At 59.9% G+C, this 23,202-nt stretch overlaps 1 protein-coding gene and 1 long non-coding RNA gene across 14 annotated transcripts in view; one reads left to right on the top strand and one right to left on the bottom strand.

The window, feature by feature from the left end:
* KCNQ2 (potassium voltage-gated channel subfamily Q member 2) overlaps positions 1–23,202 on the top strand; it is a 72,448-nt gene that overhangs the window by 25,679 nt on the left and 23,567 nt on the right. For 8 of the 13 annotated variants that reach the window (NM_172108.5, NM_001439003.1, XM_017027841.3 and 5 more), the window contains exons 2-11: positions 140–230; positions 1,613–1,739; positions 2,143–2,318; positions 4,446–4,571; positions 7,269–7,379; positions 8,257–8,352; positions 13,074–13,168; positions 15,608–15,637; positions 18,542–18,610; positions 22,771–22,800. In NM_172108.5, coding sequence (NP_742106.1) covers positions 140–230; positions 1,613–1,739; positions 2,143–2,318; positions 4,446–4,571; positions 7,269–7,379; positions 8,257–8,352; positions 13,074–13,168; positions 15,608–15,637; positions 18,542–18,610; positions 22,771–22,800 — 951 coding nt within the window. Of the gene's footprint in view, positions 1–139; positions 231–1,612; positions 1,740–2,142; positions 2,319–4,445; positions 4,572–7,268; positions 7,380–8,256; positions 8,353–13,073; positions 13,300–15,607; positions 15,638–18,541; positions 18,611–22,770; positions 22,801–23,202 lie in introns of those variants that run through there. The other 5 variants (NM_001439004.1, XM_047440144.1, NM_004518.6 and 2 more) reach the window with 2 other exon arrangements.
* LOC105372721 (uncharacterized) lies at positions 10,886–11,631 on the bottom strand. Its single transcript, XR_937000.1, has 2 exons — positions 11,500–11,631; positions 10,886–10,967 (listed from the first exon to the last, which is right to left on the bottom strand). It is a non-coding gene; the product is annotated as an uncharacterized LOC105372721 (long non-coding RNA).

Raw genomic sequence — 23,202 nt, 5'->3', positions numbered from 1 at the left:
GGGGTCCTGCGTTCTGGAGACGCGGCCATGCTGGTGCCCTGCTGCGGCCTGGTGGGGAGTGGGGTCCTGAGTTCTGGAGACACAGCCATGCTGCTGCCCTGCTGCGGCCTGTCTGAGAGCGCGCGTTCCCTGCCCCCAGGTTCCTCCTGGTTTTCTCCTGCCTCGTGCTGTCTGTGTTTTCCACCATCAAGGAGTATGAGAAGAGCTCGGAGGGGGCCCTCTACATCCTGGTGAGCCCCGAGGGAGGGCGGGGGCTGGAAGTGCCCAGGAAGGAGCTGGAGCTGCCTGGGCGTCTGTCTTCCGTTCCTGTTACTACAGGGCCTCTGACGCCCCCAGCCCCAGCTCTGGCCATGTCTTTGTGCCCTGTCAGTTCCCATCTGCCCCCAGCCCCACAGCCCGGGCTATGCCCCAGCCCCACCCTGGCTGTAACTCAGCCCTCACCTCACCCCTCCTGGTGACCTCACAGTGGCTGACAGCCCCGCCTCCATCGCCCCCACCCTGGGTGGGCCACCCTCCCTTTCCCATCCCCACTTTATCTCTGGAGCCGGAGATGTGGGGCGTCCCCAGCAGACGGCAGACGTGGGCGTCGGGGTGGGGGCTGTGACGCTTGCAGCAACCCTGTGCCAGGGCAGGGTGGGCGCCATGGCAACGGGAGTGCAGTTCCTGTGTTGCTGTTGGTAACGGGGTGGGGGGCCCTCAAGGAGACTGGTCCCCATCCAAATGCACCTCCCTCTACTGCCCGCCCTGCTCCTCTGTTCTGGGGCTTCCCAAGGTCTGGGTGGAGACTGTGGCCCCCTTTGCAGTTACCTGGGGCCTTCCCTCAGCTCAGCCCTGCTGTGCACCCCCCAACTCAAGGCAGGTCCCCCACTGGCTCAGACAGGGTCCCCCAGCTCAGACAGGGGCCCCCAACTCAGATAGAGTCCCCCAGCTTGGACAGGGCAGCTCCCCAACCAGCTCAGACAGGGTCCCCCAGCTCAGACAGGGTCCCCCAGCTCAGACAGGGTCCCCCAGCTCAGACAGGGCCTCCCAGCTCAGACAGGGTCCCCCAGCTCAGACAGGGTCCCCCAGCTCAGACAGGGCCTCCCAGCTCAGACAGGGTCCCCCAGCTCAGACAGGGTCCCCCAGCTCAGACAGGGCCTCCCAGCTCAGACAGGGTCCCCCAGCTCAGACAGGGCCTCCCAGCTCAGACAGGGTCCCCCAGCTCAGACAGGGTCCCCCAGCTCAGACAGGGCCTCCCAGCTCAGACAGGGCCTCCCAGCTCAGACAGGGTTCCCTAGCCCAGATAGAACCCCCTAGCTCAGACAGGGCAGCCCTGCCAGCTCAGACATGGTCCCCTAGCCCAGATAGAGTCCCCAGCTCAGACAGGGAGGTGGGGAGGGTGGCCCCATGGTGTTCATGCTCAGCTGTGTTCCCGGATGCAGGGTCTCCAGAGGGCCCAACCCTTCCTGCCCAGAGGCTGGAGAGGGGTGGGGGGGTCAGCTTGCAGTTTCCTTTGGGGGCCTCCTGCCCTGTGGCTTGGTCCCTGGGCCAGAACTGCTCCTGTGGGTGTCCAGGCTGGGCCCCCAGGCCCTCCCCCAGGCCTCAAGGTGGCCTCAGCTTTCCTCCCCTGCAGGAAATCGTGACTATCGTGGTGTTTGGCGTGGAGTACTTCGTGCGGATCTGGGCCGCAGGCTGCTGCTGCCGGTACCGTGGCTGGAGGGGGCGGCTCAAGTTTGCCCGGAAACCGTTCTGTGTGATTGGTGAGGCCTGGTGGGGGTGGTATTGCTAGAATCAGGGCCAGGCACCCAGGGACGGACTCAGCCCTGGGGGGAGCTGGGGCGTCTGCGTGGGCCAGAGAGGCTGGGCAGGACTGGCTCCTTCTGGAAGTTTCTTTTCACCTGCTGACTTGGAGTCAGAGGCTGTGGTTAACTCTGCCTAAATGTCAGGAAGAGGAATGTGGCGCTGGGCTGCCCATCCTGGGCCCCACAGGCAGGGTGGACGATAGTAATGTCCTTCCTGGGGCCTGACAGAGCCCACACCAGGCGCTGGGCATACACCTTCCCGCCCCTCTGCACATCCTCCTGGAACGCGGGGTGGGGAGTTTTCTCCAAGGGGGTGCGGGGAGCGGCCCAGCAGCTCACCAGCTCCACGCCCGCTTTGTAGACATCATGGTGCTCATCGCCTCCATTGCGGTGCTGGCCGCCGGCTCCCAGGGCAACGTCTTTGCCACATCTGCGCTCCGGAGCCTGCGCTTCCTGCAGATTCTGCGGATGATCCGCATGGACCGGCGGGGAGGCACCTGGAAGCTGCTGGGCTCTGTGGTCTATGCCCACAGCAAGGTGAGTCACGGCCCCAAGGCTGGCGGTGGGCGCCCCCAGCCAGCGAGAGTCCTGGCCCAGACCGGGCCCCACCCCTGCCTGGGGTTTGCTTCAAGAGCCCTGGGTGGAGGGATGGAGTCAGTGGTGGCTCTGGCTGGAGCCCATCAGGTGTGAACGAGCCTCCCTCCCCTTTCTTCTCGGTGCTTCTTCTCGTGACTTGGGCCATCTTTGTCATCTGTCTCCAGAAAGCTGCTTTTTCGAAAGGCCAGGCCAGGCCATTTTGGCCCCTGCCACCCCCACCTTCCTGCCGCGAACCCTTGGCTCTGTGGTTGGGTGTCTTCTTTCCTGGGTTTTTAGTGCCTGGATCAATACAAAGTGCTAGTCACCTGCCTGGTGGTTGTTTAAGCTGCGGCTTGCGGCGGCCGCTGTCCGGGGGACCCAGAGGGTGGCTGTGGCCACACATGCTGAGTTCCAGGGGCCCCAGGCCCCCCAGTGACCGAGACCCCATCCTGCCAGACTGTGCTGTCCCTCCACCTTGCTCACGGGTGGGCTCATTTGCTCAAATGGCCCCCTCCCCATTTTCTTCCCTCTTGAGCCCTGGCAGGGTGGTGGCTTTGTCTGCAGAATGGGCAGGGGTCAGCCCCCGGTGGCCCCTCTCCCTCCCTGGACGCTGTGGGGGTTGAGTGCTGACTGCAGTGGGCACCCTTTTCACATCTGTGCCCGGAGGCTCAGGGAGGTTGGGGGAGGGTCTCAACAGTCCCAAGATTCTCCAGCCCTGCTGGCCGCCAGAATAGACGCTACTGACCCTGGAGGGCACGGTGGGCTGGCCGTGCGAGCCACTGTTGCCCAGGCCAGGAGGCTCAGGGGAATGGGCTGCCGTAGCTAAGATGGTGAAGCCAGCGGCGCCTCCTGGTTCCCCTGTGCCAGCCCTGCCACCGACCCTGGCGTGGAGCCTCTGCTGGCCTCAGGAGACGGGTCCATCCAGCCCCTATATCCCTGGAGACAGAGCCCAAAGTGGGCTGACTGGCGAGGCTGCAGTGCTCCTGGAGGCAGGTGGCGGGTGGTGATGGTGGTGAGGGTGATGGTGGTGATGGTGGTAGTGATGGTGGTGGTGGTGGTGATGGTCATGATGGTCATGGTGGTGGTGGTGGTGATGGTGATGGTGGTGATCGTGGTGGTGGTGATGGTGATGGTGGTGGTGATGATGGTGGTGATGGTGGTGATGGTGATGGTGGTGGTGATGGTGATGGTGATGATGGTGGTGATGGTGATGGTGGTGATGGTGATGGTGGTGGTGATGATGGTGGTGATGATGGTGATGGTGGTGGTGGTGGTGATGGTGGTGATGGTGATGGTGGTGGTGGTGATGATGGTGATGGTGGTGGTGATGATGGTGATGGTGATGGTGGTGATGATGGTGGCGATGGTGATGTGATGGTGGTGATGGTGATGGTGGTGATCATGGTGGTGGTGGTGATGGTGGTGGTGGTGGTGATGGTGATGGTGATGTGATGGTGGTGGCGCCGGTGATGGTGGTGGTGATGATGGTGGTGGTGGTGATAGTGGTGGTGGTGATGGTGATGGTGGTGATAATGGTGGTGGTGGTGATAATGGTGATGGTGATGCTGATGATGGTGATGGTGGTGGTGATGTGATGGTGGTGGTGATGGTGATGGTGGTGATGGTGATGGTAATGGTGGTGATGGTGGTGGTGGTGGTGATGGTGATGATGGTGATGGTGGTGGTGATGGTGATGGTGGTGATGGTGATGGTGGTGGTGATGGTGGTGATGGTGGTGGTGATAATGGTGATGGTGATGGTGGTGGTGATGGTGATGGTGGTGGTGGTGATGGTGATGGTGATGGTGGTGGTAATGGTGGTGGTAATGGTGATGGTGGTGGTGGTGATGGTGATGGTGGTGATGGTGATGGTGGTGATGGTGGAGGTGGTGATGATGGTGGTGGTGGTGGTGATGGTGATGGTGGTGATGGTGATGGTGGTGGTGGTGGTGGTGGTGATGGTGGTGGTGATGGTTTTGGTGGTGGTGATGGTGGTCATGGTGTTGATGTGATGGTGGTGGTGTTGGTGGTGGTGATGGTGATGCTTCTGGTGATGGTGGTCATGATGGTGGTGCCGTCTGCCTCTCAGGAGCTGGTCACTGCCTGGTACATCGGCTTCCTTTGTCTCATCCTGGCCTCGTTCCTGGTGTACTTGGCAGAGAAGGGGGAGAACGACCACTTTGACACCTACGCGGATGCACTCTGGTGGGGCCTGGTGAGTTGTGGTCATTGTGGTTTTCCCTTTCCCTGCTGATACACCCCTGTCCCTGTGCTGGGACCAGGCTCTCACTGGCTGAGCCTGCTCCATACATCTCTTTGGGGCCACCTGCTGGCTGCCCGTGGTCATGATGGCTTGTGGTCGAGGCGGGGTGGTGGTTGCCAAGCTGGCGGGGGAGTGGGTGGGGAGGGCTGGGCCCCAGAGAGCCTGAGCTCAGCCGTGGTGGGCATCTTCCTTCCTCCTGAGCTCAGCCGTGGTGGGCATCTTCCTTCCTCCTGAGTGACCCTCCACCTGCTCCGTGTCCCGATTATTGGGGGAAAGGGGAGAAGAGGCATCCCTAGGAGATCTGTCCTGGGCAGCCCTGAGTTTTTGGAGACTAGGTGGCTCTGCAGGCCCCACTCTGATCAGGTCTGAACAGATCTGGCCCCTGGGCTCCTCCTCACCTGGGGCCACAGACACCCTCAGGCTGCTGGTGCACAGGGGCAGGGTCTGTGCTCTCCTGGGAGGCTGAGACCAGACCCCGGGCCTAGCCCCGCACATGCCGGCTGAGTGGGCTCAGCCCTGCGGGGAAGGCATGGGCAGCTCCACCTGGTGCCTAAGCCGGATGCAGCTGATCCGAAGTTATTTTATTAATTTCATGAGACCTGGACACTGTCTTCCCAGTCGGGGCTTGGGTGGGGGTTGAGAGCTGAGCGTGCCCCGGGGCCCAGGCTGTGGACCATACAGATGACCTGGACTCACTGAGCCATCTTGTGTGGTTCAGGCCCCACCACAGGGTCAGGGTGGGGCCCGGGGCGTCCTGAGCTGTGACTGCTGGGCCCTAGGACTTTTGATGGGGACAAGCCCATCCCCCAGGTCTTTTGTGGGCAACAGCCTTCTTATCTTTACGATTGGGTGTTTTTTCAGAGTAATGCTTGTGTATATTTTTAAATGTCAGAGAGTTACTAAGCCTTATGGTGAGAATAGAGCCCCACTCTGTGGCCGCGGTGCCCTCCCCTCTGGGTCCCTCTGCAGCGGATGCGGCTGCTTCTGTGTTTTTCTTTGGGGTTTACCTGATTAGTCTTAAATAGCAAATAGGGATGCTGGTATTTCCTGATTCAAACGCGCTGACTGTGTACCTCCTACTGGGATGAGATCTACCCCCAGTTTCCCTTTCTTGCAGCCTTTGGGGGTTTTCAGCAGTGTGGGGGGAACCCCGCCCTCACCTCCCCCGCAGGCCAGGCCCCATCTGCCAGGCCTCCGGCTTCCTTTTCCTTGAATACAAAAAATTAGCCGGGTGTGGTGGCGGGCGCCTGTAGTCCCAGCTACTCGGGAGGCTGAGGCAGGAGAATGGCGTGAACCTGGGAGGCGGAGCTTGCAGTGAGCCGGGATCACGCCACTGCACTCCAGCCTGGGGGACAGAGCGAGACTCTGTCTCAAAACAAACAAACAAACAAACAAAAAACCACGCCTCCTTTGGTAACGAAATTGTGTAGAGGGCTGAGGCCCTGGCTTAGTCTCCCCAGGAGAGGTTTCTTGGTCAGGCCTCGCCCAGCCTCCCGCCCACTCTGTGTGGCAGCCTCCTTCCCAGAGTCTCCTGTGCGCTCCGCGTGGTGGTGGCAGCCAAGGCCCCCAGGTGCTGGCGCTGCTTTGCACCAGGCCACAGCTTCCTGTCGGTGTGGAGCAGGTGCGGCCCAGCCGGCCCACCCTGTCCTCAGACCACACAGCAGCGTCCTCGGAACCCAGGGTAAACTCCCCAAGGTGGGGCTGCAGGTCCTGGTGAGAGGTCTCCCCTTCCCGGCCCTGCTGTCTGCGCTCAGGCCTCGATCCCTCTGTCTGTTTATCTAAGACTCTGCCCTCACAGGGCCTGTCCTGGGCCCACCTTCTGGTCCTAGCCAGAGTGGCCTCCGTGCGGCTGTCCTGAGCCCGTGGCTTGTGGTGCGTGCGGTTCTGGCAGGCGGGGGTGGGCTGCGGCCCCAACATGTCCAGCACTGAGTGCAGGGTGCCTGCCCCTGCCTTCCTCGGCCCCGGCACAGGCATCTCTTGTCGGAGCTGCTTGGAGACGTGTCCGTCCTTCGCTTCCCCTCATCCAGGCCCCGAGTCGGGTGCTCCTGGGCTCACCGGGACCCTTGGGGAGGTCCAACCTGGCCTGACCTCCCCCTTGCCCACCACCCCTAGAGAAACTAAGCACAACCCCTGGGGTCCCTGCTCCAGGAGCAGCCCACCCCGCCATGGCTCGGTGGAGACCACTCCCCCGCCTCTTGTGGTGGCCTCCTCCTGCCCACCCCTCTCCTCTGGCCTCAGCTCAGCTCAGGCTCAGCGAGCCCCCTGCACGCCCTGCCCGTTCCTCTGGGTCCCTCTGGGCACTCCCTTCTCCCCAGCTGCACTCTTCACCTGGCGGGGATGCAGTGGGGGCTGCTGTCCTAGCCGAGCCTCGTGGGAGTCACGTCGCTGGGCCTCTGGTTCTCGATGTGAGATGGGGACACAGCCTTTGGCTGGACCCCGCTTCTGGCCTGTAGGGGAAGAGGAGAGAGGGCTCAGGGGATGAGGGGCGGCCGACACCGACCCTGGCCTCACTGGGCCTCCGTGTGGATGGTGACACGGGGGTGGCCCCGCATCTGTCCCATCCCAAGCCCCGAGTCGCCAGCGGGCGTCCAGCCTGCCCTCAGGGGTGTGAGCAGGCCCTTCGTGTGACTAGAGCCTGCGGTCCCACAGATCACGCTGACCACCATTGGCTACGGGGACAAGTACCCCCAGACCTGGAACGGCAGGCTCCTTGCGGCAACCTTCACCCTCATCGGTGTCTCCTTCTTCGCGCTGCCTGCAGTAAGTCCAGCTGCCCCTGCCTGCCTTGGAGGGGGACGAGGTCTTGTAGGCTCCCGAGGTGACCACAGGCCCCTGGGCACAGTTCCCTAGGTGGGACCTGGGGCAGGAGCAGCTCTCAGCAGGTCCACAGCCCCCAGGAGCTGGAGGTGGCAGCTCAGGGTCAGAGGCCTTGTTCCCCAAGGACTGGAGTGGGGGTTCCCCAGCCCCGACAGGAGCATGCCCAAGGCTGCGGCTGTAGCTTCAGGGGGCTCTGTTAGTCACTGGTGGCCCCTCTTAGTCTGAGTGGGGCTGAGCAGGAGGTCCTTGTGACCAGGAGCAGGGCGGCTGGTGACACAGGTCCCTCATGGGTCTCTAGGCAGTGAGGCCCACCCAGCTCAGAGGGAGGTGGAGGGGCCCTGTCAACCCTTGTTGCCCCAGGGCAGGGCAGGGCAGGGCAGCTGGTGCACGGCAAGAGGCTGGCCCCGGTGTCCCCTTCACTGTGTGCCCTTCAAGATGGGCCTGCAGACTCTTCTGTGTGGAAGGGAAAGAGGCCACTCTGAGTTCAGTGTGGGTCCTGCCATGTCTCCTGCAAGCCAGAGGGTTCCTTCCTCTTGATGCTGACAAATTGTGGGGATATGGGTTCCTGGATTAGTCTGACCTTGATGAAGGTGGGGGAGGCATGGATCGGTGGAGACGGGTCTGACCCTGATGAACTGGGGGGTGTGTGAGTCCCTGGGGCGTGGTCTGACCCTGATGAATTGGGGGGTGTGTGAGTCTCTGGAGTGTGGTCTGACCCTGATGAATTGGGGGGGGTGTGGGGCCCCAGAGCATGGTCTGACCCTGATGAATTGGGGTGTGGGGGGTCCCTGGGGTGTGACCTGACCCTGATGAATTGCAGGGCATCTTGGGGTCTGGGTTTGCCCTGAAGGTTCAGGAGCAGCACAGGCAGAAGCACTTTGAGAAGAGGCGGAACCCGGCAGCAGGCCTGATCCAGGTGAGTCCAGGTGTCCCCCGGGGACCAGCACAGCCCTTGTCCTGGTCCCACCTTGTTGAGGAGTGGAGGCCGCTGGGGCTTTGGCATTGCCCTGTCTGTGGATGGGCCACAGCGCTCACCCTCTGCAGGAATCTGTGGAAGGAGCGAGGATGTGAAGTGTGTGTGTTGAGAAATGGCTCCAACCCCTGAGGCTGCACAGGGGTGGCTCGTGTGAGGACGCTGGGGTGGCCCTTGCCTTGTGTGGGTGCTGGGGCCCGGCCATCAGGTCCTCTCTACCGCACCCTGGGAGGTGAGCACACCCGTTCTGCAGCTGCAGGGCCAAGGCTCCTAGAGCCCACACACTGCAGTGAGTCAGTGCCTGACCTCGTCTGACCCCTGATGCTGGCTGTGGGCCCCCATGATGCCCGCCCGGACCCCACCCAGTGCCGTCCCACCATTTGGGGGTGGGTAGCGTGCAGTGACCACTGTGGCATCCACAAGTAATTCCTGAGCCACCTTGAAAATACGGACAGACAATGGCCGGGCACAGTGGCTCACGCCTGCAATCCCAGCACTTTGGGAGGCCGAGGTGGGAGGATCACGAGGTCAGGAAATCAAGACCAGCCTGGCCAACATGGTGAAACCCTGTCTCTCCTAAAAATACAAAAATTAGCTGGGCGTGGTGGCGTGCGTCTGTAATCCCAGCTACTCGGGAGGCTGAAGCAGGAGAATCGCTTGAACCAGGGAGGCGGAGGTTGCAGTGAGCCGAGATCACGCCACAGCACTCCAGCCTGGGTGACAGAGCGAGACTCCGTCTCAAAAAAAAAGAGAAAATATGGACAGACAGCAGGACCCCCTTGGGACCAGCCATTCTTGCAGCTCCTCCCCAAAGTCTTCCATCCACTGGACCCGCAGAGCTGACCAGGATCCCTGCCAGCGGAATGTGGCTATAGGCTCTCTCCTGTCTTAGACAGCAAATCTTGAGATGGAGATAATCCTGGGTTACCCCAGGTGGGCCCTAAATGCAATCACATGCATCCTTATAAGAAGGAGATTTGACACAGAGGAGGGGAAAGCAGTGTGACCACAAAGGCGGAGACTGGAGACGTGGCCACAAGCCGCGGAGTGTCAGTGGCCACTGCAGGGGATGTGCCTCTTGTGGTCTTGGCTCTGGGTCCAGCCTACCTTAAGGTGTGTATTTATCTTCCACTATAAAAACTACAAACAGCTATTTATTTCCAGGCAAGAGTTTTAAGAAGAACCAAAATGCCCCCAAATCTCACTCCACTATTGACGGTTTAAAAAGTGACCACGTACGTGTGGTGAAAAGGTTACAATAGTGCCAGAAAAAGCAGCGTCTGAGCACCCAGGGTCCCATGCGCCCTGCTTCCCTCGAAGGTCACTCTTAGCAGCTGGTGCACATTTCCAGAGCACAGCTGGGCCTCTCCACAGGCGCACCTCAGAGGACCTGCAGCCGTGGTTCCAGACCACTACGGTAGAGATACGGCAATAAAGCGAGTCACACAAATTTCGTGGTTTCCCAGTGCATATGGAAGTTATGTTTACAGGCTGGGCACCGTGGCTCCCACCTGTAATCCCAGCACTTTAGGAGGCTGAGGCAGGCAGATCTCTTGAGGTCAGGAGTTCGAGACCAGCTTAGCCAACATGGTGAAACCCCATCTCTACTAAAAATACAAAAAAATTAGCTGGGCGTGGTGGCACACGCCTGTAATCCCAGCTACTCAGGAGGCTGAGGCAGGAGAATCACTTGAACCCGGGAGACGGAGGTTGCAGTGAGCCGAGATTGCGCCACTGCATTCCAGCCTGGGAAACAGCCCGAGACTCCGTCTCAAAAAAAAAAAAAAAAAAAGTTATGTTTATACCATGCCATAGCTTACTAAGTGTGCAGTAGCATTATGTCTAAAAAACAGTAAAACACTGCACGTACTTTCACTTACAAATACTTAATTGCTAAAAAAATACTAACAATCACCTGAGCCTTCTGCGAGTTGCAATCTTTGTGCTGGTAGGGGGTCTCACCTCGATGCTGGTGGCCACTGCTGATGAGGTGGGGCTGCTGAAGGCTGGGGCTGTGGCGATTTTTTTTTTTTTTTTGAGACGGAGTCTCGCTCTGTTGCCCAGGCTGGAGTGCAGTGGTGCGATCTCAGCTCACTGCAAGCTCCACCTCCCTGGTTCCTGCCATTCTCCTGCCTCAGCCTCCCAGGTAGCTGGGACTACAGGCACCCACCACCACGCCTGGCTAATTTTTTGTATTTTTAGTAGAGACGGGGTTTCACCGTGTTAGCCAGGATGGTCTCGATCTCCTGACTTCGTGATCCTCCCGCCTTGGCCTCCCAAAGTGCTGGGATTACAGGCGTGAGCCACTGCGCCCGGCTGTGGTGATTTCTTAAAATAAGGCAAGAATGAGGTTTGCCGCATCGATTCACTCTTCCTTTCACGAAAGATTTCTCTGCAGCATGCGATTCTGTTGGATAGCGTTTTACCCAGTGGACCTCCTTTCAGCATCGCAGTCAGTCCTCTCAAATGCTGCCACTGCTGTATCAACTAAGTTTATATAATGTTCTCATTCCTTGTCATTTCAACACAGTTCACAACATCTTTGCCTGGAGTAGATTCTGTCGACCAAAAAAAAAAAAAAAGAAACCACACACATGTCAAATGTATTTGGGAATTAGAAGAAAGGATTATAACCAGAGATGAACCACTGTGGCCAGAGGGTGGGGGACTCTCGAGAGATGAGCCAGTGTGGCGAGCCACCCATGTGCCGGAGAGGGAGGGGCAGGGAAGCTCTCCCTGGCTGAGAAGTTCACATAAGCTGCTTGGAAACAGAGTTCACTGGCTCTGAGGCTGAAAACCAGAGTTGGCAGCCGTTCACTGGTTGAGATGCCGCTGCTGGGCCAGTGTTCTTCCTAGAGCATCTTGTCTGAATTGCTGCATTCCTGATAAGGAATTCCTTGTGGGGTTATTTTAGAATGTCTTTGACACTGTCCTCATCTCAGCCATGCAGGCGTGAGCCCTGCCGCCGTGTACTCTCTGGCCTCGGTTGGTTTGGACCTGACAGAAGTGACCTTACCCTGCTGTCTGCAGTGTTCACCGTCCATCCCAAGAAACCACTTACTTTGCTCATCCATAAATGCTGCTCCTCACCTGTTAGAGTTTTATCCTGAGATGGCAGCAGTTCAGTCCCGTCTTCAGGCTCCACGTTAGGATGGCCAACTTTTTTTTTTTGTTGTTGTTGAGATAGGGACTTGCTCTCTTGCCCAGGCTGGAGTGCAGTTGTGTGATCTTGGCTCACTGCAGCCTCGACCTGCCAGGTTCAAGCGATCCTCCCACCTTAGCCTCCTGAGTAACTGGGACTACAGGTGTGCACCACCATATCTGGCTAATTTTTTGTTTTAAGTAAAGGCAGGGTTTTGCCATGTTTCCCAGGCTGGGCTTGAACTCCTGGGCTCAGGCGATCCACCTGCTTCAGCCTCCAAGGTGTTGTGAGCCTCTGCGCCAGGCCAGGGCGGCTGACATGTTAGCAAATGGCAAATCAGCGTAGTGAGGATGTGTGGACACCGCCCCCCCTGCTGGTAGGAATGTAGCGATGCAGTCACCCTGGAAAGCAGTTCGGTTGTTTCTCAGAAAGTTCGTAAACGTGGAGTTGTCACGTGACCCGGCCATTCTACCTCTAGGTATAGACAGACACAAAAGAATTGAAAACAGACCTTCAACCAAAAACGTGCACACAAATTTCACAGCAGCACCACTCATAGGAACCAAAAAGTGGAAACAGCTGAAATGTCTATTAATGGATGAACGGAATGTGATTTATCCATACGATCCTCCTATCAGGAGGAGCGGGCGCTGCCCCTTGCTACGACGCGGATGGGCCGCGGGGACGTCACGCTCAGTGGAGGGAGCCAGACGGGGAAGGCCGTGCAGCTTGCGATGCCCTTGGCAGGAAATGCCCGGGGCGGGGAAGTCCGTGGAGCCCCGTACACCCTGGCGGTGGCCAGGGCCTGGGGGACCAGGAACCAGGAGCGCCTGCTGAACGTCGGGGGTAGGAGGGGGTTTATTTGGGGGCGACGAAGAGGTGTGGAGTTAGATAGGGGCAGTGGTCGCACAGCACTGTGTGTGCAGGCGCTACTGAAGTGCACGCTTTAACATGGCTAACATGGTGAACTTCAGGATATGTCTATTTCAGCACCGCAAAACAAAACAAAGGCATAGAGAACGGAAATCCAGCCAGGCGAGGTTCAGTCTGACGTACAGGCTCATGCCCCGAGCCGGGCTGAGTCCCCGCCCTGGGAGGTTGGAGGCTGAGGTCCCTGGCCCTACCCATACTCCCAGCGCCTCAGGTTGCCCAGGGCCCAACCAGGAGGTCAGGAAGGTAACCCCCAGGACAGGTGATACCCGCCAGGGGCCAGGTAAGAGTCATGAAAAGGAAAGAACACAGCCTCCCTGCGAGCTCGCTCAGGGCCCCGAGTCAAGCCCCAACCGCTCCCCTCCTTCAGGCCCCACCGTCTGACAAGCGGGCTTGCCTGTCTGTCCTACAGAGGGTAAACTGAGGCTGTGGGGCTGATGCAGCACTGGGGCCTGGCCTGCTGGCCCAGAGTCCTGAGTGCCTGGCCTACAGCATGGGGGTCCCCTCTGCCCCGTTCCCTCCACGCCCGGCCCTCCTGGGCGCGCCCCTCGCCGCCTGCCCCTCGCCAACTGCCTTGTCTTTCCCTCCGCAGTCGGCCTGGAGATTCTACGCCACCAACCTCTCGCGCACAGACCTGCACTCCACGTGGCAGTACTACGAGCGAACGGTCACCGTGCCCATGTACAGGTACCGCCGCCGGGCACCTGCCACCAAGCAACTGTTTCATTTTTTATTTTCCATTTGTTCTTAAACCCCACTTTTTGTTGTTCATTATTTTGATTGATTTTTTTTCTTTAAAATGTATTTTTCACAAAGGAGTTCTGTGTGTGGTTTATTTCGAGGCGTTGCTTCTGCCCTTTGTGTTAGAGCTGCGGCTTTCTCTTCACTTTCATTTCCTCACCCCTTTGCTTTATCGTCCTGGCCGTGGGTCGTGCTGTGTTTTGTGCGTTGCAAGGACGCTCCCCAGGGAGCTCAAGGTAAATGCCCCCCGCCCCGGGCTGCTCTGGACCGACAGCTGCTCCCCGGGCTGCTCTGGACCGGCAGCTCGAGGTGCCCAAGCTTCAAGAGTGGAACCAGTACCATGACCCCGTCCCCCATCAAGGACCTAGGGCTCCGGCGTGGGGGGCAGGAAAGTAACCCCGGATCACAGTGAGACTTTCAGACCAGGAAACTCAAATTATCCTGGGGGTCCCAGGTGTTCCCCAACAGGACAGAGCACACAGACAACCTTGGAGCCCCTCGGGCAGCAGAGAAGGGGGCCTAGAAAGTGCCTGTCGAGGCAGTGCTAGCAGGTCCTGTGAGCCTGTGTGGTCGGAGGGCGGCTTTCCCGTGTTTTTTTGTTTTACAAAAGGGCAGGTGGCAGCCAGCTGGGATTTTCGTTGCCTGGCTCTTGCTTAAATTAAGGTCTGAGATGAGGGGTTCTGAGGGCCTTTCTCCTGGTCCACGCGGGCCTGACCCCTCGAGTCCGTCTGTGTGGGCACCACCTTGCCCGCCCGCCCTCTGCTCTGAGGTGGGGAACTGAGCCCCGGGACTTCCCAGCTCCCGCGCCCCCCGTCACCTGCTCCTAGGGGGTTTCTGTCCCCTGGAGCCTTCCCTAAGGGTGGGGCCTTCCCTGTGGGTGGAGCCTTCCCTGAGGGTGGATCCTTCCCTGGGGGTGGGGCCTTCCCAGAGGGTGGAGCCTTCCCTGAGGGTGGGGCCTTCCCTGAGGGTGGGGCCTTCCCTGAGGGTGGAGCCTTCCCTGTGGGTGGAGCCTTCCCTGAGGGTGGAGCCTTCCCTGAGGGTGGGGCCTTCCCAGAGGGTGGGGCCTTCCCTGAGGGTGGGGCCTTCTCTGTGGGTGGATCCTTCCCTGAGGGTGGGGCCTTCCCAGAGGGTGGAGCCTTCCCTGTGGGTGGAGCCTTCCCTGTGGGTGGATCCTTCCCTGAGGGTGGAGCCTTCCCTGAGGGTGGGGCCTTCCCAGAGGGTGGAGCCTTCCCTGTGGGTGGATCCTTCCCTGAGGGTGGAGCCTTCCCAGAGGGTGGAGCCTTCCCTGTGGGTGGAGCCTTCCCTGTGGGTGGATCCTTCCCTGAGGGTGGGGCCTTCCCTGAGGGTGGGGCCTTCCCTGTGGGTGGGGCCTTCCCAGAGGGTGGAGCCTTCCCTGTGGGTGGATCCTTCCCTGAGGGTGGAGCCTTCCCAGAGGGTGGAGCCTTCTCTGTGGGTGGAGCCTTCCCTGAGGGTGGGGACTTCCCAGAGGCTGGGGCCTTCCCTGTGGGTGGATCCTTCCCTGTGGGTGGAGCCTTCCCTGTGGGTGGATCCTTCCCAGAGGGTGGAGCCTTCCCTGTGGGTGTGGCCTTCCCTGAGGGTGGGGCCTTCCCTGTGGGTGGATCCTTCCCTGAGGGTGGGGCCTTCCCTGAGGGTGGGGCCTTCCCTGTGGGTGGGGCCTTCCCTGTGGGTGGAGTCTTCCCTGTGGGTGGATCCTTCCCTGAGGGTGGAGCCTTCCCTGTGGATGGGGCCTTCCCTGAGGGTGGGGCCTTCCCTGCGGGTGGGGCCTTCCCTGTGGGTGGATCCTACCCTGAGGGTGGAGCCTTCCCTGAGGGTGGGGCCTTCCCTGAGGGTGGGGCCTTCCCTGTGGGCGGGGCTTTCCCTGAGGGTGGGGCCTTCCCTGAGGGTGGGGCAGGTGCACAGTGTGGCTGGGAATTCTAAGCTGGGGTGGGGCCCAGGATTCTTCTTGAGGATCCTGAGTTGGCCAGGGTGGACAGACCCGCGGCAGTCCTCAGTTGCTACCTGCCTTTTCAGGGTGTCACTTGGGAGGAGGATGCCAGAGCCCTTGGCGGTCCTCGATGTTTGCAGTCGCCCTCTGGGGTCTGCCCCAACCCCTCCCTCAGCACCATCCCCCCTGCACCTCCTGGAAGCCCGACCTTAGGAGCCTGGCCCTGCTTGTCTTTCCTGGGAATGTCGGCCATGCCCTTGTTTCTGCAAAGTGACCTCTCTCAGCCCAGGGCAGGGACAGAACCAGCCCTTGTGCTAATTTTCTTTGTTCTGTTGTTTCCCCTACTTTCCTCAACTATTTGTTTCATTTTCTTTTTCTTATCCCGTTCTTTTTGAAATTTTCCGTTCTTTTCCCTTTGTGTGTGTGGAAACACTTGAAAGTTCGCAAACTCAAACCTACGGGGCCTCCAGGTAGGAAATGCATGGACAGAAGCCCTGTGTGTGTGTGTGGTTCTAGTTCTGTGTCTGGAACTGTGACCGGGCAAGCCCCTGGAGCCCCGTGGCCCACCCGGTCTGCAGAGTGACCACTGTCCCTGCCCACCGAGCATCCCTATGCCCCCTGCCCTGCGTGGCCCCATGCTGGGCGGCCAGATCACCCTGGGCCCTCCCCTGCCTGGAGCCCACGTGCCAACCCTGCCCTCCCAGGGCCCATCCACCCTTCTCGTCCTGCCTCCCCCCAGCCGCTGCTTCCTGTTGCCAGCCCGCCTGTGTCCCCCGTGGTCTCGTTCTGTCCTGCTTCTGGCCTGGCTCCCCTCGTGCCTCCATCCCCACCCCACAGGCCCCATCTGTGAGCAGAGCAGGAATGATGGATGGGGGGCTTCCCCTGCCCTGGCGCTGGGCACCCATCTGGGGCCAAGGGTGCTCCCAGGCCAGGACCCCCAGACCAGCCACAGTCCTTGTCCCACCGTGGCTCACAGGGCAGCCTCTGCGGGCCAGCTAGCCTCAGGGGTCTGCCTCAGGGTCTCCTGCCCTGGACTCAAGTTTCTCCTGAGTCTTGCCCTGGCATCACAGGGGAACCCCAGGGCTCCAGGCCGTCCCACCCCTGTCCCCACTGCTGAGAGCAGGAAACAAGGCTGTTTGTTCAGACTGGAGAGCGCTGAGCTGCTATGGGAAGCCTCACCCCCATACAGCACAAAGGGCCTTTACCTGTCGGGTGGGCAGGCTTGTGCTCTGTGATGACACTGCCCTGCAGAGCCTGGGGCCAGCCACTCCCCACATAGACCAGAAGGGCTTCCTGCACAGAAGCCCTTGATGACTCCTCCAGGGGCCAGTCACCCGTCCTGGAGGAGAGACCTGGCTGCCCTTCCTGGGAACTGTTAGAATGTTGACTCTCCATTCCCAGAAAGGAAGTGGGTGCAGTGCTGGGCAGTGGTGGGTCCAGGGCTCCTCTGCCCCCGACATGCTCAGCCATAAGACATCTCCAATGTCTGCAGAGGCCCTGCTGCCCCTGGGGCCAGGAGGCTGGCGCTGAAGCCGGCTGCCTCCTCCCCAGCCTCTGCTCTCTCCCAGGGCCGCCCCCTCCCCTTGTTGCACCCTCGTCCCACAGCTCCGTCCTGCCCTGGCCCTGCCGCCCGCCTGTCTGCCCTGGCGCTGCTGCTCTGTGTGTTCGAGGCATGGCCTCCTATGTGGCTCTGAGGGCTGACGTGTGTGTCTCTCACCTGGGCCTGCGTGCGTGTGGGTCCCATCAAGGAGGGGTGGGGAGCCACCTGTGGCCCCCAGACAGACTCCGGCCAGGCTGGGCTCTGCTGCGCCCACAACACCAGCTCACCAGCTGCCTGGTTCCTGCTCCATCCCGACTTGGACAGCGGACTGTCCTCTGCAGGGAGGGGGCTCACAGGAGCCCCACTCCTGCCAGCATTTTGGGGGCACCTCTGGGGCTGCAGAGGGAACAAAGAGGGGCCAGGCACGGCTTTACCAGCTCACACCTGCCTAGCCTGTGGGGGGGCACCAGAGGCTGGTGGGGTGCAGGGAGGGGCTTCTGGACAGCTCTGGAGGGAGGAGTGTGGCTGGACGAAGTGGGAGTCGGCAGTAGGGTGATCACCAAGCCCTGAGGGACAATGGAGTCAGCCATCCTTTTGCTTTGGAGGCAGTGGGGAGCCATTGAGTGTTTGGTCAGGAGAGTGGCAAGGATGCCCATCTGGAGGACCAAGTAAGCCTGGGTGGGCAGAGGCAGGGCAGGTGAAGAGTCTGGAGGATGTGGGCCACGGCCCAGCCTGGGGCAGAGGGAGGACACGGGCAGGGGCATCTCCAGGGGGTGGCCGTGGCCATAGCCGCGTAGGGAGTCAGCTGGGTGAGGGCTGGGCTGGGAGGTGGCCGTCCTGCCTCCAACGCAGAGGAGAGACCAGGACGTGGCCCCAGTGGGGAGTGCTCCACAGGTGGGTGTGGGGAGGGGTGGAGGCCGTGGATGGGATGGCAGGGCCTGGGAGCAGAGGCTGAGGAGGCGGAGTGGAGGGGGTTCAGGTGGGTCAGGGAGCCGGGTGGGGGAGGCCCCAGAGGAGGGTGTCTCTTCCTGAAGCGAGCTGGAATGCTGTGAGGGCATGGGTGGTGAGGAGGAGTGGGCAGAGTGAGGTGGGTGGGAGTGGGGAGGGGTGAAGAGGGGGACGTCCCACCCAGACGTGAGGAGGTGCCTGCATACCTGCCTGGGGGGCTTCGGCGGGCCCGGACTTGGTCCTGCTGGTGGCTGTGGGCGGCAGGGCAGGAAGACAGGGGTGGGTATGACCAGGACTGGGAAGGGGGCTCGGAGCAGAGCTGGGCCACCTGCGGAGGATTCCCAAGGCATCTGGGCCTGATGAGGCTGGGCTCATCCTATAGACTCCAGAATGAGCTGCTCTTTGCCAAGCAGAATCCTTTTCTGTATCCCCACCTCCCAACTCCTCCAGCTTTGGCAGAGAAAGTGGCTGTGTAGAGAGGGGCCGGGGCCCTAAATATATTCGCGTGCTGTCCCTCTAGGATGTTCAGGGATTAGAAGGGGGAGTAGCGCCTCCCCCTACCTGCGCGCCCTCCTCCACCTGCTCCAGGCTGCAGGGTCGGGGCTGCATGGGTGGCCAGGCGCCCTCTTCCCTCCTCCCTGCTGTCCCTGCTGGTTGACAAGGCCCCAGGCACAGCCAGAGAATGAAGATGGCTCCCAGGCCTGCCCAAGAGAGGTGGGCCTGAGCCCAGGGCCCAGTGGGCAGCTGCCTGAAAGCCTGGCCACGTCACATGCCGCCGGGTGTCTGACACTGCAGGCGCCTGCCCATGGAGCTGTGCAAGCAGAGGGAGGTGTCCCAGGACTCGGGAGGGTGAGACGCTCACTCCCCTCTCCTTCTCTTGCCCCAGACTTATCCCCCCGCTGAACCAGCTGGAGCTGCTGAGGAACCTCAAGAGTAAATCTGGACTCGCTTTCAGGTCAGCTGGGGAGCTCCAGGTGGGGCGGGTGGGCGTCTCAGTCCTCCTGGGGGCCCCAGCTGCCCACAGAAGACACGCCAGGACAGTGCCCCAGGGACTCCAGGGAGCTGGGACGCGCGGGGACGCTGGACTTGGTGATGGTGGTGCTTTCTCTTTTCGCGTCTGCTGACCTGGTCTGGGCTCCCACCCCCAGAGGGGCAGCTGGTTCGGGGGACGGGCAGAGAGGGAGGGGCGAAGGTTGATATGGGGCCGGGGGCTCTGCATGGCTCCTAATGGGGCCCAGGCGCGTGGGTCGTACGACAAAGTGTCCCAGCCCGTCGTCCTCTCGAGTGCCTGGTGGTAACTCAGGTGCTGATGGCGCCTGCTGCCTCTCCTTCAGGCCCAAAGCCCACGGCTGTCAGAGTGCCGGCTGTCGAGGTAGGTTGCAGAAGGGCCTGCTGAGCAGGAGAGGTGGAAGGCGAATGCACCTGCCAGGCCTGCCCAGGCCCAGAGCCGTCCCCAAGCAGTTCCATGTCTGAAAGCCCTTGGTGGGGCAGGGGCTTCCAGTGGGTTGGATGCTGGTTTCTGCCTCCTAGAGACACTCTTCTGCTCTGGAACCTATCAGGACGATCTCAGATCATCCTGGATTTTCCGGGCGGGCCCTGAGTCCAACAACGAGTGTCCTTACAAGGAGAGGGAGATTTGGAAGCACACAGAGGTGATAGCCAGCTAGGATGGAGAGAGAGACTGAAGTGATGCGGCCACAAGCCAAGGGCTGCCTGGAGCCACAGAAGCTGGAAGAGGCAGAAAGGACCCTTCCCTGGAGCTTTCGGAGGGAGCAGGCCCCGCCCGCACCTTGATTTTGGACTCTGGCGTCTAGGACTGTGAAAGAACAAACATCTGTTGTTACACACTCCAGCGGCACTTAGTTACAGGAGCCGTTGCACATGAATCCAGACTTTAATACCGGGAGCCGCGTGCGGCTGTGGCAAACGCCTACAAGCGCGGGTGTGACATCAGAACCGGGTGAGCCAAGGGCTCGTTTCCTAGAATCACAGGTTCATGCGTGGAGGACTCCAGCCCCAGGCTGATGCACACCTGCAATCACACACACCTGATTTAAATGATTCTGATGACTTTATTATTTTATTTATTATTATTATTTTGAGATGGAGTCTTGCTCTTTCGCCCAGGCTGGAATGCAGTGGTGCGATCTTGGCTCACTGCAACCTCCACTTCCCGGGTACAAGTGATTCTCCTGCCTCAGCCTCCTGAGTAGCTGGGATTACAGACACCTGCTACTACGCCCGGCTAAGTTTTGTTATTTTTGGTAGAGATGGGGTTTCACCATGTTGGCCAGGCTGGTCTGAAGCTCCTGACCTCAAGGGCTCTGCCCGTCTCGGCCTCCCAAAGTGCTGGGATTACAGGCGTGAGCCACTGTGCCCGGCCTCTGATGACTTCAGATGATGAAATTTGGGACTTTTTGAACTGATGGGATTTGGATGAGATTTTGGACGTGAGTATTTTGAGGTGCAGGCTGGAAGAAACTGAGGTGTCCTGAAGAGATGGTGGGTGGGGACACGGATGTTGAAGGTGCTTCTGGTGCGGGCTCAGGAGGAAGTGAGGATGCAGGTGTTGGAAGCTGGAGGGAAGGCTGTCCTTGTGTTGTTGGTGGCAGAGACTCCACTGGGCTGTGCGCTACTGTTGGGCAGAGGCAGAATTTTTAAGTGATGAACTGGGATATTTAGCCAAGAAGATTTCCAAGCAAAGTGTGGAAGGTGCAGCCTAATTTATTTCTGCTGCTCATAGTAAAGTATGAGAGGAAACAGGGAGATTCAGAGCAGCACCTGGCCGATCCGCCAAAAGACTATTAAAAAAAAAAAAAAAGGCATTCAGGGCAGAACTGCTGTAAGAAACCAGAACTTGAAGGTTTGGGAGGTGCTCAGCCTGTCCAGCTTGCAAAGGGTCTTAAATTAGGAGATTCACTGTTGGCAAAGCCTGCTTTGGAGAGAAGCCCACAGGTGTGGCCAGACAGCCTCATGCTGAAGGCACCAGGTGTGCGGCTGCAGCCTCCACCGTCTCCACAGAGGCCTGAAGATGGAGCTATCGGGAAGGATGTGCAGAGGGGCCTCTTGTCTAACGGCGTTGCGGCCTGTGGCATATTCAGGAGGCCCTAGAGGTTTTGGGGAGTTTCATACCAGCAGAAACTAGATTGGCAGAGACAGCGTTGGACGAAGGTAAGAGGGCATCGAACTTCGGGAGTCTGCAGGCAGGAAACAGGCCGGTGGCGCTCCTCAGCTGTGAACACGAGCTGCCCTTTAGGAAACGGGGAACGATCCCGAGGCTCCCGCAGAGGCCGGCGGGGCTGAGAGCCCCCGAGGAGCGTCCCCAGAGCTGTGCCACGTGGAGTTTGCCCCGCCGGATTGGAAACGTGGTGGCCGGCGGCCCCTCTGTCATTCTCCCTTTTTGAGTGGGAAGAGCTGTCCTGCTGTTGATACTTTAAGCAGATGGCTTGTTTTCTAGTTCACAAGCCCATGCATGGAGGACTTTAGCCCCAGGTTGGCGCACACCCACGGTCTCACACATACCTGATTTAAGTGATTGTCATGACTTCAGAGGATGGGATTTGGGACGTTTTGAATGGGTGGGATTTCTTTTTTTTTTCTCTGAGACGGAGTCTCCCTGCGTCACTCAGGCTGGAGTGCAGTGGCGCAATCACAGCTTACTGCAACCTCTGCCTCCTGGGTTCAAGTGATTCTCCTCCCTCAACCTCCCGAGTACCTGGGATTACAGGCACCTGCCACCACACCCGGCTAATTTTTGTATTTTTAGTAGAGACGGGGTTTCACCATGTTGGTCAGGCTGGTCTCGAACTCCTGACCTCAGGTGATCCACCCGCCTCGGCCTCCCAAAGTGCTGGGATTACAGGTGTGAGCCACTGTGCCTGGCCAACGGATGGGATTTCGATGAGGTTTTGGACACACAGTCCATGCTGCAGAGGGTGGAGATTTTGGGGGATCTTGGCAGGGGTGAGTGTATTCTCGATGTAAGATGGACATGAATTTTGGGGGGTCGGGGGAATGCAGTGGTTGAATGCTGGTCTCCAAAATGTCCCAGAATTTGCAAATGTGACCTGATTTGGAGAAAGGGTCCTTGCAGCTGTAACTGAGCTTGGGATCTTGAGATGAGGTCATCCTGGAACATCCTGATGAGCCTGGTGACAGCTTGAGCCCTAGCCCGGTGACAGCTGTCCTTACAGAGGTAGAGGAGGAGAAGACACAGAGACACAGAGAATGTCGTGTAGAGACGGAGGCAGAGACGGGGCGGTGCAGCCACAAGCCAAGGACACCTGGGCCACCGGGAGCTGCAGGAGGTGATGAGGGACCCTCCCCGAGAGCGTGGACCATGTTCCACGGCAACACGGTCCCTGTCACATGAAGTATTTGGAAGTGCACCAAAGAGCCTGCTTGTAACACGGCGTACCAGCCGGGGCACCAGCCCAGGTGTTCGAATGAGATCGCTGGGGCCTCCCCATGGATGAGCCAAATCACGATCCGCCGATCTCTCACTCAATCCATAACGCCTTTACCCGCGGAAACAGCCCCAGATGAGACGCCGGAAGGCCCAGACAGCTTTGCCTGCAGGACGAGGCCGGGACAGTTGGTCAGCGGTGCAAACCCTGGGCTCACTGACTGTGGCGCAGTGGAGCCACCCCTGGAAAGTCACGCGGAAGAGAATCATTCCATTAGGATGAGCGTGGAAAAAAGAGTCGGAGCAGCTCACTCTGTCTCGAAAATTGATTGTAAATTAAACTCCCTTCCAGAGCTTCCTTCAGCAAACACGTGCTTTTTGGAACTTTATTAATATTGGTGTGGTTCTGATTAAAATGAGTGTCTGTAAATGTGGAGGGGTAGAGACCCCCAGGTCAGAAGAGCAGAGGCCCCCGCCCCATGGAGTCCCTCTTCCCTCTCGGAGCTGCCTCCGTGGGCCCTGGGGTGCCCGTTCCTGGGGCCGTGGGCTCTCTGGGGTGGGTGGGCCAGCTCCACCCCTGCCCAGCCTTTTCTGAGACCCCCCTCCCCTGCAGCCCCTGACCCATGGGACTGTGGGGGGCTGGACTGGTTGGGGGACCCTCATGGGTGCTGAGTGGGCGGCCACTAACTCTCTGTTGCTTCTGTTTGAAGGAAGGACCCCCCGCCGGAGCCGTCTCCAAGGTCAGTGCCCCCTGCTGCTACCCTGGTGTCTGCCGTGTGCACGGCCGTCTGGTCTCTCTCCCACACGTGTGCGCAACCTGTCATGGAGATGTGAGGGCCTTGTGTGTGCTTCCGTGTGTGACTGTGTGACTGCGGGTCCAGACCCCCGCCTGGCGGTGATGTGGGCCCTTAAATCACTCTTCCTGCTCACCCCCTCCCCAGTGATTCGGTTTTACTTTGCAGCACTGTGGATCCGGGCAGCTGGGCGGCTTCTCGGGGGTGGGGGATCCCCCACCCCGCCCACAAGTCTGGCCCCAGGGTTCTCGGAGGCAGGGGGTCTCTGTTAGTGCGCTCCCTCCAGCTGCAGGCACATAGCCCGAGCTCACAGCTGGCCTGAGTCGACGCCGGCTGGGGTGAAAGCTC

Source organism: Homo sapiens, chromosome 20 (genome assembly GCF_000001405.40).
Source record: "Homo sapiens chromosome 20, GRCh38.p14 Primary Assembly".
In the NCBI taxonomy this organism is placed as follows: Eukaryota; Metazoa; Chordata; class Mammalia; order Primates; family Hominidae; genus Homo; species Homo sapiens.
This window is presented reverse-complemented; position numbering and strand designations above follow the sequence as displayed.